This window comes from Homo sapiens, chromosome 6, assembly GCF_000001405.40.
Source record: "Homo sapiens chromosome 6, GRCh38.p14 Primary Assembly".
NCBI classification, from domain to species: Eukaryota; Metazoa; Chordata; class Mammalia; order Primates; family Hominidae; genus Homo; species Homo sapiens.
The window spans coordinates 120,922,469-120,937,403 of record NC_000006.12 but is presented as its reverse complement, the minus strand read 5'-3'; the positions used below and the strand labels follow the sequence as shown (position 1 = coordinate 120,937,403).

The 14,935-nt window shown below is 40.8% G+C and overlaps 3 annotated features.

The window, feature by feature from the left end:
* Nucleotides 4,605–5,374: an enhancer, noted in NCBI's record as "OCT4-NANOG-H3K27ac hESC enhancer chr6:121253176-121253945 (GRCh37/hg19 assembly coordinates)". NCBI's record gives its function as "activates a minimal SCP1, AML or CMV promoter by ChIP-STARR-seq in naive H9 embryonic stem cells {active_cell/tissue: H9 hESC(naive)}" and the evidence as "EXISTENCE:reporter gene assay evidence [ECO:0000049][PMID:30033119]".
* Nucleotides 5,375–6,145: an enhancer, noted in NCBI's record as "OCT4-NANOG-H3K27ac hESC enhancer chr6:121252405-121253175 (GRCh37/hg19 assembly coordinates)". NCBI's record gives its function as "activates a minimal SCP1, AML or CMV promoter by ChIP-STARR-seq in naive H9 embryonic stem cells {active_cell/tissue: H9 hESC(naive)}" and the evidence as "EXISTENCE:reporter gene assay evidence [ECO:0000049][PMID:30033119]".
* Nucleotides 6,146–6,916: an enhancer, noted in NCBI's record as "OCT4-NANOG-H3K27ac hESC enhancer chr6:121251634-121252404 (GRCh37/hg19 assembly coordinates)". NCBI's record gives its function as "activates a minimal SCP1, AML or CMV promoter by ChIP-STARR-seq in naive H9 embryonic stem cells {active_cell/tissue: H9 hESC(naive)}" and the evidence as "EXISTENCE:reporter gene assay evidence [ECO:0000049][PMID:30033119]".

Genomic DNA, 14,935 nt, shown 5'->3' with positions numbered 1-14,935 from the left:
GTGAGTGAGAACATGCAGTGTTTGGTTTTTTGTGCTTGTGATAGTTTGCTGAGAATGATGGTTTCCAGCTTCATCCATGTCCCTACAAAGGATATGAACTCATCCTTTTTCCACTTTTTGATTAACACAGAAATCCAACAACTACATTTAACATTGTTTGAAATTTTAGAATAAATTTAATATAATATAAATATAGACCCTAGCAATGAAATAAGATACCCATTGGTTTCTAACGATACTGGCCTTTTCTGCACTACTCCAGATTCTGATATGCAACCCCATTGCTGGGGCAATGTCCATGTAACATACACACAAAGTGCCACTGCAGCACCTGTCTTGCCATGGACATAGTAGCGATTTATTTAGCATAGGAATTCTAGGAAACCTGTTTACTTTGCAACAATAGAGAGAAATTTCCCAAATGTCCCTGAGGTCTCAGAGAAATAGATTGTATCAAACCAGAAAATAAGAATATGATGGAAGAATAGAAAAGATCAACATAAAAATGTGAAGGAAGCCAGAGAACATTAGTGGCATAAGAGTGAGGAGAGAACATTTGGAAGTTTAAACTGTGATAACTCTTATGTATTTATTAGTCCAGCTTTTTGGACTTTTAGATCACACACATTGTCAGTTAATTGTAGTGTTGTGTATTGTAACCCTTGCCCATAAAGATTAGGAAGATTAGCAAAGTGTAAAAATCAAGGTTCCAGAACAATACACATGACAAGATCTCATTTTTGTAAAAGAAATGTATTAATGTGAATGTATTTTTTATATTTATATTAGAGCATGGGGAAAAGACTGGTAATAGTGAGAAAGAATTAGAACAGATGGAGGTAGCAGAATAATGTCATGTTTTGGCATGTGTATTACTTGAATATTTTACAAATAGGGTGGATTCATGTATTTCTCATATAATTAAGAAAAGATGACAGTGAATTCATAAAAAAGCAAGTCCAAGTTATGAATTTCTTTATAAACTTATTAAAGTCATTCTCCACCAATCATTTGGTTAAGATAAAAACAACAACAAAACTAATTTATAAAGGAGAGTTATAACACAGCTTGTTCTTAAATCAGATTAAACCAAATCTTAGAGTTTAAAAAAATTCATGACTTCTTTTTTTCTTTTCTTTTTTTTCCTTCTTCCTCTTTTGTGCTCTCTTCCTTCATCCTCCTTTTTCTCTCCTTCCTTTATCTTTTTCCTCCTTTCTGTCTCTTTCTTTTTTTCTTCAGAGATCTATTGTTCTGGTAAATTACCAGCAAAAACAAAAAGGGGAAGAAAAATTAATGAGTAGCCTGAAGGTCATCCTCAGAAAGTATGACTCATTATATACCTGTAACCTCAATGAAGATAGGAAGAAGATAACCTATGCATTTAATTACTCCATCATTCATTCTAGGTTTTGATAGTACATAGACAAAGTACTTGAGGAGTAACTGAAAGACTTTATATTGTCCCTCTGGATGGTTTTGTAATGCTTTACAACATATTCTATATAGTGGGCTTTCATAATATGTGCAGTTTTTTAAAAAATTCACCCATCTACCCACTGAAATATGTATATTTTGGAGGACAAATGTTTTCTCATGCAGACATTTACTTATTTAGTAGACATATTTGTAGTTATTATATACAGACTGTATTAGGAGCTTATTCTATGTCATTACTGATTGTTTCAACAACCTTGAATGGCTGGTATTTAAATCTTATTTTATATTTAAGGAAACTGAGGCAAATATGAAATTACTCTAGCCTAAGATCCAGGATTCAAACCGAGATTGTTCTGTCTCCACAGCCCATTTTTCTCTACTATAAAATCCTAGTTCCTAGTGTTCAGAAAAACCAGCTGTTTTATCACTTTCTTAGAAACCCACTAAATATCTTTTAAAATTCAGGATTTTCCATAGAAAATATATTACAGTTTTTGTGTCTGCTGTAATATGCTGTATGGCTTACTTACTTTTGCCTTAAAATAAATTAATAAACCTGATGGTGATTCAGTATAACCCAAAAGAACAGTAGAAGCGGTAGGGATTGAGGGGATGGGGGAAGGGTGTTTGTATTTTGGCTTTGTTATTCTACAGGGAGAACAGCTCAGATCAAGTGTGATGTAGTTTTCATCAGAATGAAAATAACCTGTGCATTCTGGAGTGCATGTTAATAGAAGGGTATGCTGAGAGACCTGTCAGCTTCTTTTAATGAAGCAGCAACAATAATGCAGCAGTGCATAGAGGCCTTAGACAGTTCAGGAGAGATAAACAGAGCCACATACCAATGTGAATGGAAATTGTGAATAGAAAAGGTAACGTATTATAAGCCCTACATCCCTTTCCTACTTAAAAACATTCTATTCAGCAAAGCTATGGATGACTTTGTCACCTGCCATTATAGTTATTCAAGTTGATTTGAGTTACAATTGTTATAGCTCTCTGATTGTACACTTTTACATTAGAATGACTTAGGAAAAACAAGGCTATAAACAATTAAAGATTTAAAAAATAAAATTCTTAAAATTTTAAAAATAGGTTTCGAGAGTACACATGCAGATTTATTATGTGACTATATTGTATAGTGGTAAAGTTGGGCTTTTAATGTACCCATCACCTAAATAGTGAACATTGTACCCAATATATCATTTTTCAGTCCTTACTCTCCTCCCACCTTTTGGAGTCTCCAACATCTATTTGTCCACTCTGCATATCCATATGTACCTATTGTTTAGCTCCCACTTTTAAGTGAGAATATGTGGTATTTTGACCCTGTTTTGGATTATTTCACTCAGGAGAATGGTCTCCAGTTTCATCCATGTTGCTGCAAAAGACATGATTTTATTATTTTCTATGGCTGAGGAGCATCCATGGTATATATATGCTACATTTTCATTATTCAGTCATCTGCAGACGGACACTTAGGTTGATTTAATGACTGTTGTGAATAGTGCTGTGATAAACATACAAGTGCAGGTGTGTTTTTAATATAATGATTTCTTTTCCTTTGGGTAGATACCCAGTAGTGGGATTGCTGGGTTGAATGGTAGTTCTATTTATAGTTCCTTAAGAAATTTCCATACTGTTTTCCATAGAGGTTTTACTAATTTACATTTCCACCAACAGCATATAAGCATTCCCTTTTCTCTGCATCCTTGCCAACATCTGTTATTTGACTTTTAATATAAGATGATGTCTTGTTGTGGTTTTAATTTGCATTTTTCTAATGATTCATGATGTTGAGCATTTTTTCATATGTTTTTGGCCACTTAGATGTCTTCTATTGAAACATGTTTGCACACTTTTTAATGGGATTTTTTTTTTCTTGTTGAGTTGTTTGAGTTCCTTGTATGTTCTGGATATTAGCCCTTTGTCATATGCATAGTTTGAAAATATTTTCTCCCATTCTGTATCTTGTCTGTTGATTATTTCTTTTGCTATGAAGAAGATTTTTAGTTTAATTAAGTCCCATTTGTCCACTTTTGTTTGTGTTGCATTTGCACTGAAGACCTAGTCATAAATTCTTTCCCTAGGCCAATGTCCAGAGGAGTTTTTCCTAGGCTTTCTTCTAGAATCTTTATAGTTTCAGGTCTCACATTTAAGTCTTTAATCCATCTTGAGTTGACTTTTATATATGATGAGAGATACAGGTCTAGTTTCATTCTTCTCCATATGGCTATCTAATTTTCCTAGCACCATTTATTGAATAAGGTCTCTTTCATTTATAGAATTGTAATAATAAAAGTAAAATATCACAGTGCTTTAAATGAAGGCCTATGTTATGAATGAGCATGAAATAAACACTAAATTATGCACATCATTTACTTTAATCAAATAAGCTGAAGATTTTGCCAGAGATGGGATAGCATGGTGGAAGAGAAAGCTTTGTTATATTATTTTTTAATCTAGTTATGTTTTTAATACAATGATTTGGAATCCAGTATATCTACCAGAATTACTTTTCCAAATTTCACTTGTTCAGATCTACTGAATCAGAATATATGTGGGTGTATTGGGAGAGCCTGTAGTTAATTCTGATACCTACCTGTGATATGAAGACCAATGTTTTGATCTAAGAAGGAAATTGTTAATTTCCTTGCACACAAATATACAAATACACACATACATATTACACACACACACACACCATATCATACTATATGCCTGATTCTTAAAGAGCCTCTCAGTATATATTTTTCAAATGAACAGAAATTCTCAAAGAGCAGTAGTGGGAGTAATGGGAATCAGTGGTCCAGTTATCATATTATCCCTGATTAGAGAAATAGGGCCTAAACACTTTCTTTGTAGATAGTGTTGAGAGACTGCAAGCCTTGGGAATACAAGCAGGGAGGTACTGAGAAGGCCAAATGGTAAAGCTAGTCTTATTAATGGTGGAGACTGGGAAGGTTGAGATTAAGCCTCTATTAGTCTCTCTCTCTCTCTCTCTTTTTAAAACGAGTCTTGCCTATGGACTTCCAGGCCCTGCTAATTGGTGCTGATCAACAATTTTTTTCTTTTTCCTTAATTTTGTGGTTGAATCCTAGGTTCATGTTGTAGCTTTATCATGGTTACAGCTTCCCAGATGATTAAAAACTGGTTTGGTTTTCACCATTCTTCCCTGTTATGACATTGTATGTAAAAATAAGTTGTCACTATTTTATCTGCTTCATTTACTAATGCATTTTAAGTACTTATAGGAGTGTTTGGTGCATAGTCGGAACTCAAGAAATATTTCATTTAAAGAGTAAAAATAAACACTTCATGTATTTATGGAGATTTTAATTCAGAGGTTTATTCTTCAATTTATATTTTGTGGAACATTGTATATTCTATTAAGGCTTCAGTGCATTCTTTCAACAACTGCAGCTGGAAAAGGCAGTCACTATCCTAGCTATTTTACAGAATAGAAAATCAAAACATACAGAGAAAAGAATTCTCCCCTTGTTTTACAAAATCATATAAGTTTAGGATTGAAAAGACCTTATGTATCATCTGGTGAAGGGGTAGGTTGCCCCTCCACACCTGTGGGTGTTTCTCGTTAGGTGGAATGAGAGACTTGGAAAAGAAAGAGACACAAAGTATAGAGAAAGAAAAAGGGGGCCCAGGGGACCGGCGTTCAGCATACAGAGGATCCACACCGGCCTCTGAGTTCCCTTAGTATTTATTGATCATTATTGGGTGTTTCTCAGAGAGGGGGATGTGGCAGGATCATAGGATAATAGTGGAGAGAAGGACAGCAGGTAAACACATGAACAAATGTCTCTGCATCATAAACAAGGTAAAGAAAAAAGTGCTGTGCTTTTGATGTGCATATACATAAACATCTCAATGACTTAAGGAGCAGTATTGCTGCCAGCATGTCCCACCTCCAGCCCTAAGGCAGTTTTCCCCTATCTCAGTAGATGGAATATACGTCGGCTTTACACCGAGGCATTCCATTGCCCAGGGACCAGCAGGAGACAGAAGCCTTCCTTTTATCTCAACTGCAAAGAGGTGTTCCTTTCTCTTTTACTAATCCTCCTCAGCACAGACCCTTTACAGGTGTCGGGCTGGGGGACGGTCAGGTCTTTCCCTTCCCATGAGGCCATATTTCATACTATCACATGGGGAGAAACCTTGGACAATATCTGGCTTTCTTAGGCAGAGGTCCCTGCGGCCTTCCGCAGTGTTTTGTGTCTCTGCGTACTTGAGATTAGGGACTGGTTTGAGATTAGGGAGTGGTGATGACTCTTAACAAGCATGCTGCCTTCAAGCATTTGTTTAACAAAGCACACCTGCACAGCCCTCAATCCATTTAACCCTGAGTTGACACAGCACATGTTTCAGGGAGCACAGGATTGGGGGTAGGGTTACAGATTAACAGTATCTCAAGGCAGAATAATTTTTTTTTAGTACAGAACAAAATGGAGTCTCCTATGTCTACTTCTTTCTACACAGACACAGTAACAATCTGATCTTTCTTTTCCCCCACAATCTGGTTTTAATATATAGCGTTTCCAACAAGCTGCTTATGCTTGAATTCTTTCCATGCTGAAGAAAGCCCTACCCCCTAAAACACTTTCATCTACCCTCTCACAGCTTCCTCATAGGTTTATGCTTTTATGTCTGTCTATGGAATCATCATTTATATGATTGACTGTCAGCATTTAGAAAAAAAGCCATATACCATCTGAGATTCTCTTGTCCTGGCTAAACTCTCTGGCTCCTTCAGTCATTCTTCATGAGATACGATTTTGAGATTGTTTAATCACTTCTTCACTTTCTCATGCACATGTTTCCATCTGTCTAGTCTCTTCAATAATTGTACTCATAGCTTGAAAACAACTACTACTTATAGGTTCCAATTAAGTTCCACATAATTTATCCACACTATGTTATTTAATCTTTTCAATAACTCAGTCAAATTGCTTTAGTGAAGACTCTTTGGTTGGAGGAACAAAAATCCATCAGAATTAGCTTAAACACAATAAACCCAGAGGGATTTCATGGCATGGATTCTAAAATATAGTGGGAACTTTGGAAACATGGTAAGTCATCTGACTGTGTTAAGTTTCATGTGCATCCGTGTGAAGAGACCAGCAAACAGGCTTTGTGTGAGCAGCATGGCTGTTTATTTCACCTGGGTGCAGGTGGGCTGAGTCCGAAAAGAGAGTTAGGGAAGGGAGATAAGGGTGGGGCCATTTTATAGGATTTGGGTAGATAAAGGAAAATTACAGTCAAAGGGGAGTTGTTCTCTGGCGGGCAGAGTGGGGGAGCTTTTGAGCCAGGATGAGCCAGGAGAAGGAATTTCACAAGACAATGTCATCAGTTAAGGCAGGAACAGGCCATTTTCACTTCTTTTGTGGTGGAATGTCATCAGTTAAGGCAGGAATCGGCCATCTGGATGTGTATGTGCAGGTCACAGGGGATATGATGGCTTAGCTTGGGCTCAGAGGCCTGACATTCCTGTCTTCTTATATTAATAAGAAAAATAAAATGAAATAGTGTTGAAGTGTTGGGACAGTGAAAATTTTTGGGGGTGGTATGGAGAGATAATGGGCGATGCTTCTCAGGGCTGCTTCAAGCGGGATTGGGGTGGTGTGGGAACCTAGAGTGGGAGAGATTAAGCTGAAGGAAGATTTTGTGGTAAGGAGTGATATTGTGGGGTTGTTAGAAGGAACATTTGTCATTTAGAATTATTGGTGATGGCCTGGATACAGTTTTCTATGAATTGAAAAACTAAATGGAAGAAGAGAAGGAGAAAAACAGGTATAAAAGATCGAAGAATTGGGACGACTCAGGACATCTGATTAGACAGTGCCTAAGGAGATTCAGCATAGTCCTGCCAGCAAAGATTATTTATTTACTTCAAGAGTTAAGAGTGGCAGTTTGGGGATAGAACCAGGAGATATCAGCTGTGATGGCTTGGAGAAACTGTGTAAACTGGCAGTGTAAACAAGAGCAGGGCATGTATGAGTAGTTGAGAACGGTGAATAGGAGTATGACTAGACAGAAGATAGTGGGGATGACAAGTTTTTTTGGGGCACAGTCTAAGGTGGTCTGGTGTCTGGAATGAGACTGGGGCCTAATAAAAAGGAGCGTCTATACAGGAGCTCAAATGGGCTGTACCCTGTAGCATTCCGAGGACAGGCCTGAATTCTGAGAAGCGAAGGTGGTAAAAGGATTGTCCAGTCCTTTTTAAGTTGGTGGCTGAGCTTGGTGAGGTGTGGTTTTAAAAGACCTTTAGTCCGTTCTACTTTTCCTGAAGACTGAGGACTGTAAGGGATATAAAGGTTTCACTGAATACCAAGAGCCTGAAAAACTGCTTGGCTGATTTGACTAATAAAGGCAGGTCTGTTATCAGACTGTATTGAGGTGGGAAGGCTAAACTGAGGAATTATGTCTGACAGAAGGGAAGAAATGACTGCAGTGGCCTTCTCAGACCCTGTAGGAAAGGCCTCTACCTATCCAGTGAAAGTGTCTACCTAGACTAAGAGGTATTTTAGTTATCTGACTCGGGGCATGTTGAGTAAAGCTAATTTGCCAGTCCTGGGTGGGGCAAATCCTCGAGCTTGATGTGTAGGGAAGGGAGGGGGCCTGAATAATCCTTGAGGAGTAGTAGAATAGCAGATGGAACACTGAGAAGTTATTTCCTTGAGGATAGATTTCCACGATGGAGAGGAAATGAGAGGTTCAAAGAGGCGGGCTAGTGGCTTGTACTATAGCATAACCTGCCTTTGCTGGTGTGTGGAGATTAGGCCTGGTGGAACTGCCATCAATAAATCAAGCGTGATCAGGGTGAGGAATAGGAAAGAAGGAAATATGGGGAAATGGGGTGAATGTCAGGTGGATCAGAGAGATACAGTCATGGGGGTCAGGTGTGGTATCAGGAATAATGTGGGAGGCCGGATTGAAGTCCGGGCCAGGCATAATGGTAATTGTGGGACTTAACAAAGAGTGAGTACAGCTGAAGGAGCCGGGGAGCAGAAAGTATATGCGTCAAGTATGAGGAAGAAAATAGATTTGGAAGTTATGAGAAATGTAGGGAGTGAGTTGAGCATAGTTTGTGATTTTTAGGGCCTCTAAAAGTACTAATGCAGCGGCAGCTGCTGCACGCAGACATGAGGGCTAGGCTAAAACAGTAAGGTTAAGTTATTTGGACAGAAAGGCTACAGGGTGTGGTCCTGGCTCTTCTGTAAGAATTCTGACCGCACTAACCATGCCTAGGAAGGAAAGGAGTTGTTGTTTTGTAAGGGATCGAGGTTTGGGAGATTAATTGGACACGATCAGCGGGAGAGCACGTGTGTTTTTATGAGAATTATGCTGAGATAGGTAACAGATGAGGATGAAATTTGTTCTTGACTGAAGTAATGGGGTCTGTCTGTGAAGCCTTGCGGCAGTACATCCCAGGTAATTTGCTGAGCCTAATGGGTGTCAGGGTCAGTCTAGGTGAAAGCGAAGAGGGGCTGGGATGAAGGGTGCAAAGGAATAGTAAAGAAAGCATGTTTGAGATCTAGAACAGAATAATGGGTTGTAGAGGGAGGTACTGAGGATAGGAGAGTATACGGGTTTGGCACCACGGGGTGGATAGGCAAAACAATTTGGTTGATAAGGCGCAGATTCTGAACTAACCTGTAAGCCTTGTCTGGTTTTAGGACAGGTAAAATGGGGGAATTGTAAGGAGAGTTTATAGGCTCTAAAGGGCCATGCTGTAGCAGGCGAGTGATAACAGGCTTTAATCTTTTTAAGGTGTGCTGTGGGATGGGATATTGGCATTGAGGGAAGTAAGGGTGATTAGGTTTTAATGAGATTGTAAGGGGTGTGTGATTGGTCACCAAGGAGGGAATAGAGGTATCTTATACTTGTGGGTTAAGGTGGAGGGATATGAGACGAGGATGTGAAGGAAGCTTTGAACTAGGGAAAAGGTGGCAATGAGGTGTGGCTGTAGCCTAGAAATAGTCAGGGAAGCAGCTAATTTGGTTAAAATATCTCAGCCTAATAAGGGAACTGGGCAGGTGGGGATAATTAAAAAAGAGTGCATAAAAGAGTGTTGTCCAAGTTGGCACCAGAGTGGGGGAGTTTTCAGGGGTTTAAAAGCCTGGCCGTCAATACCCACAACAGTTATGGAGGCAAGGGAAACAGGCCCTTGAAAAGAAGGTAATGTGGAGTGGGTAGCCTCCGTATTGACTAAGGGGACGGACTTAACCTTCCACTGTGAGAGTTACCCGAAGCTCGGCATCCGTGATGGTCTGTGGGGCTTCCGAGGCGATCCGGCAGCGTCAGTCTTCAGCCGCTAAGCCAAGAAGGAGTCAGAGAGCCTTGGGCCAGAGTTCCAGGGGCTCTGGGAGTGGCTGCCAGGTGAGTTGAACGGTCCGATTTCCAGTGGGGTCCTGCACAGATGGGACGTGGCTTAGGAGGAATCCTGGGCTGCAGGCATTCCTTGGCCTGGTGGTCAGATTTCTGACACTTGTAGCAAGCTCCTGTGGGAGGAGGTTCTGGAGGAACGCCTGGCCACTGCGGTTCAGGCATTTGGAAGTTCTTGTGCGCTGGAGATGTGGCTGGGGTTTGTCTCACAGTGGAGGCAAGGAATTGCAACTTGTTTCTATTATTGTACACCTTGAAGGCGAGGTTAATTAAATCCTGTTGTGGGGTTTGAGGGCCGGAATTTAATTTTTGGAGTTTTATTTAATGTCGGGAGCAGATTGGATAATAAAATGTATATTAAGAATAAGGCGGCCTTCTGGCCCCTCTGGGTCTAGGGTGGTAAAGCGTCTAAGGGTTGCCGCTAAGCGGGCCATGAACTGGGCTGGGTTTTCATCTTTACCTCGGGTAGTTTCTTGAAGCTTGTCATAATTAACAGCTTTGTAAGCTGCCTTTTTAAGCCTTTCAACTAGGCAGGAAACCATGTAATCTCGCCTAGCTATACCTGGGGAATTTGCCTGGTAGTTCCTTTGGGGATCTTCTTGGGGAACTGCTCTAATGCCTTCCTGGAGGTCTGGCTCATGAAGCCAGCGGTTATCAGCGTGAGATTGGGCTAGGGAAAAAACTCTTTCCTGTTCATCTGGGGAGAGGGTAGAAGTCAGGATGATATTTAAGTCACTCCAGGTTAAATTGCAGGACAGAGTTAGATATTGGAATTCCTGTACATATTTAGTGGGGTCTGATGAGAAAGAGCCTAAACACTGACTGATCTGAGAGAGGTCTGATAGAGAAAAAGGTACATGTACCCTGACTATGCCTTCAGCTCCAGCCACCTCTCTAAGAGGAAATTGTTGGGCAGGTGGGGAAGAACTAGTCACGGAACTAAGCTGTAAGCCGGACCGGGTGTGAGGAGGGTAGGTGGTAGAAGGATCATAGGGTGGAGGAGCGGAGGCTGAGGAGGAATTGGGACTTAGCTCGGCCTGGCGACGAGCAGCCTGGGGAAGAGAGGAAAGGTCAGATGGGTCTGTAGGAAAGGAAGACTTGAAAGATTCAGTGACACTTGCGGTTGGGACTGAGGGGACAGGCGGGAGGGAAAGAAGGAGGATCTGGGAGGAATCGCATTGGGAACAGAGACTAGGGAGGGAACGAAGTGTGAAAAATGCCTGGACGCAAGGCACCTCAGACTATTTGCCCATTTTTCGACAAATATTATTTAGGTCTTGTAGGAAGGAGAAATCGAAAGTGCCATTTTCTGGCCATTTAGAGCCATTGTCAAGTTTGTATTGGGGCCAAGCGGTGTTGCAGAAGAAAATAAGGTGCTTAGATTTTAGGTCAGGTAAGAGTTGAAGAGATTTTAAGTTCTTAAGAACACAGGCTAAGGGAGAAGAAGGAGGAATGGAGGGTGGAAGGTTGCCTATAGTGAAGGAGGCAAGCCTAGAGAAAAGAGAGAGTAGAGACAGGGAGGGAAGGGGTTCGGGGGTTCTTACCCTCCAGAAAAGTGGGAAAGGGGTCGAGGCACAGAGATATGAGGTCAGGGCACGGAAATAAGGGATCAGGGCGCAGACATATAAGGGGTTGGGGTGCGGAAATTAGGGATCGGGGCACAGAGATATAAGGGGTTGGGGCACGGAATTAAGGGATCGGGGCAGAGAGATATAAGGGGTTGGGGTACTTGCCTCTCCCCTAGAAAAGTGGGACTTGCTGCTAAGGGTGAAGAAGGGGTTGGGGGTTTCTTGCCCCCTAGAAAGGTGAAGAAGTGGTAGAGACAGGGAGAGAAGGGGTTGGGGTACTTGCCCCTTCCCCAGAAAAGCGGGACTTGCCGCTAAGGGTGAAGGACCAAGGCAGGCATCCCTGCGTGGTCTGACACCTCTGAAACTTTGGTGAATAATCAGAGAGGTGTCCCTGCAATGATTAAACACCCAGGGAAGGCTGCCTTCCCTAGTCCGTGACCGGCGCCAGAGTTTTGGGTCCACAGATAAAATGTGTCTCCTTTGTCTCTACCAGAAAATGAAAGGAATTGAAATTAAGAGAAGGGAGAGACTGAAGTGTGGCACCAAGATTGAAAGGAGAAAGAGGTTAAGGGATAGTGAGGGAGGTTGGAGAAGAGAGTAAAAAGAGGCCGCTTACTGGATTTGAAATTGGTGAGATGTTTCTTGGGCTGGTTGGTTTAAGGACCTGAGGTCATATGTGGATCTTTCTCACGGAGCAAAGAGCAGGAGGACAGGGGATTGATCTCCCAAGAGAGGTCCCCCGATCCGAGTCACAGCACCAAATTTCATGCACGTCTGTGTGAAGAGACCACCAAACAGGCTTTGTGTGAGCAACATGGCTGTTTATTTCACCTGGTGCAGGTGGGCTGAGTCTGAAAAGAAAGTCAGGGGAGGGAGATAAGGGTGGGGCCATTTTATAAGATTTGGGTAGATAAAGGAAAATTACAGTCAAAGGGGAGTTTTTCTCTGGCAGGCAGAGTGAGAGTCGCCAGGTACTCAGTGGGGGAGCTTTTGAGCCAGGATGAGCCAGGAGAAGGAATTTCACAAGACAGTGTCATCAGTTAAGGCAGGAACAGGCCATTTTCACTTCTTTTGTGGTGGAATGTCATCAGTTAAGGCAGGAATTGGCCATCTGGATGTGTATGTGCAGGTCACAGGGGATATGATGGCTTAGCTTGGGCTCAGAGGCCTGACAGTAAGTTTGGAGTTACATGGTGAAAAGCTCTGACAAAAGAATAAAAGTATAAATAGTTGAAGAAGGAGGCTTAAATGGACTTGGCAGAATTTATACACTGGCAACTATCACATTTGTTTTAAAGATAAACTCTCAAGGTTTTCTAGAGAAGTGAAATTGCTTTCCTTGATCTACCTAGTCAGCCTGATCAAGGACCTAATGCCTTGACTGACCTCTTTGCTAGCTGGCAGCTAATCAGTTTACCCTAGAAATGTACAAGTGAGATTTTTTTTCACCCATACTGTCTGCGGTTTTTTTCATCCCCCTTTTCACTCTTTGAATCCTGTTTTGCTTTCACTTCCTGAGGCAGTTGTGATCCTTAATTTTGCATGTCGACTTGACTGGGCTACAGGATGCCCAGATAGCTGGTAAAGCATTATTTCTGGGTATGTCTATGAGTGTTTCCAGAAAAGATTACCTTTTGAATCAGTAGATTGCATAAAGAATATCCACCCTCAATTGGATGGGGATCATACAATCCATTGAGGGCCTGAATAGGACAAAAAGAAAACAGAGAAGAAAGGGCAATTTTATTCTTTCTTCTTGAGCTGGGACAGCTATTTTTTCCTCATCTAGAATGTTAGAGCTTCTAGTTCTCAGGGCTTTGGACTTGGACTGATTTATTCCACCAGGTTTCCTGGTTCTCCAGCATGTGGATGGCAGATTATGGGACTTCTTGGTCTTCATAATTGCATGTGCTAATTCCAATGATAAATCTTTTAAATATCTATATGTGACCCACTGGTGCTGTGTCTTAGGAAATCCTGATTAATACAGTAGTCTACCACCTGATTCCTTCAAATGTAAATAATTTGCATAAGAAATTTTTAAGTGTCTCTGAATTACCCTTCAACAATAGTCTCTAGACTCTGAACAGATGTATTTGCATCTGTTTCATTATTTTTTTCAACTCTTATCTTTTTACTTTTTAATTATTTCTACTCCATAACTGCAGTTTACTCATGACATTGGTTTGCCACATTTCATATCTATCTCTAATTTTGTTGGACTTTTCAACTCCACTATTTGATTATAGTCTCTTTGTGTGGTAGGCAGCCTTTAAAATAGTTCTCAATGATTCCTGTCTCCTGGTATTCATGCCCTGTGTAGTCCCCTCCCTTTGAGTGTGGACTGGTCATAGTGATTTACTTCAAACATACAGAATATGGCAAAAGAGGTGGGATATAAAATCCAAGATCGGGTTTTAAAAAAGGTTGTGGATATTGTCTTGTTTGCTCTCTCTCACTCTCTCTTTGGCTCTTCTCATTTATTCACTTTGATGGGGGCAAGCTACCTTCTTGGGATCTGTTTTTTGGAAGAGACCCATGTAGCAAGAAACCAAGGGCAGCCTCCTGCCAGCAGCCAGTAAGAAACTGAAGTACGTAATCTAACAGCTTGTGAGGAACTGAATCCTGCCAACAACCACATAAGTGACCTGAATGTTGATGCTTCTTCAGTTGAGCCTTAGGATGACCGTAGCCACTGCTGAACAGCTTATTATAGTGATAGACTCTGAAGGAATCATACCTGGATTCCTGGCCTGCAGAAATGTGAAATAATAAATCTTGTTGTTTTAAGCCACTATGATTTTAGGTAATTTGTTATGCAGCTTAGATAACTTATACAACTCTACACTCCATATTTTAGATAAAGTTATGTAGACAATCTATTGGCTCTGTTCAATATATGGATCAGCTGCTCACATTGGTCCAGTCAATTATAAGTGATGAATGAAAAATGTGGCATGTAGGTAAGGTAACTACTTAGTTTATATTCTAAACTGGGACACTTTTGAGAAGAAAAGCTGGCATGATGACTAATTATGCCAAAACAATAAGGATAAACAGGATGCTTCTAGACAAACAGGGAGACAGGGTCACCTCATTTGTAAGACAATCACTTCTTGGGTATAGTAAAAGGGCTGCATAAGCCAGAAGAGAAAGTTGAATCTGGCAGACTAGTTGGTTTACCTGTTTGATTAATAGCTACTATATTTCCCATTACATAACTGGAAAACTGAGGGTAGATTATCTTCTAAGAGTCAATAGATCTCATTTTACCTGGTAGACCTGAGATTCCAGCTGAGATCTTTGTCATTCTGCAGTTAGCGTGTGCGTCCCACTTGGTCATTACATCTCTTCAGAGCCAAATGTACTGCTCTGGTGTTCTTAGAAAACCAGTGTAGAATTATCATCACCCTTAGTCTAAATTATTTTAGAACTACCTTTATTCAGTGGTTCTCAACTTTTGGTGCACATTAGAGTTAGCTGAGTACTTTGAAAATGCCAATGGCTACACATCTTCTCAAATCCATCAA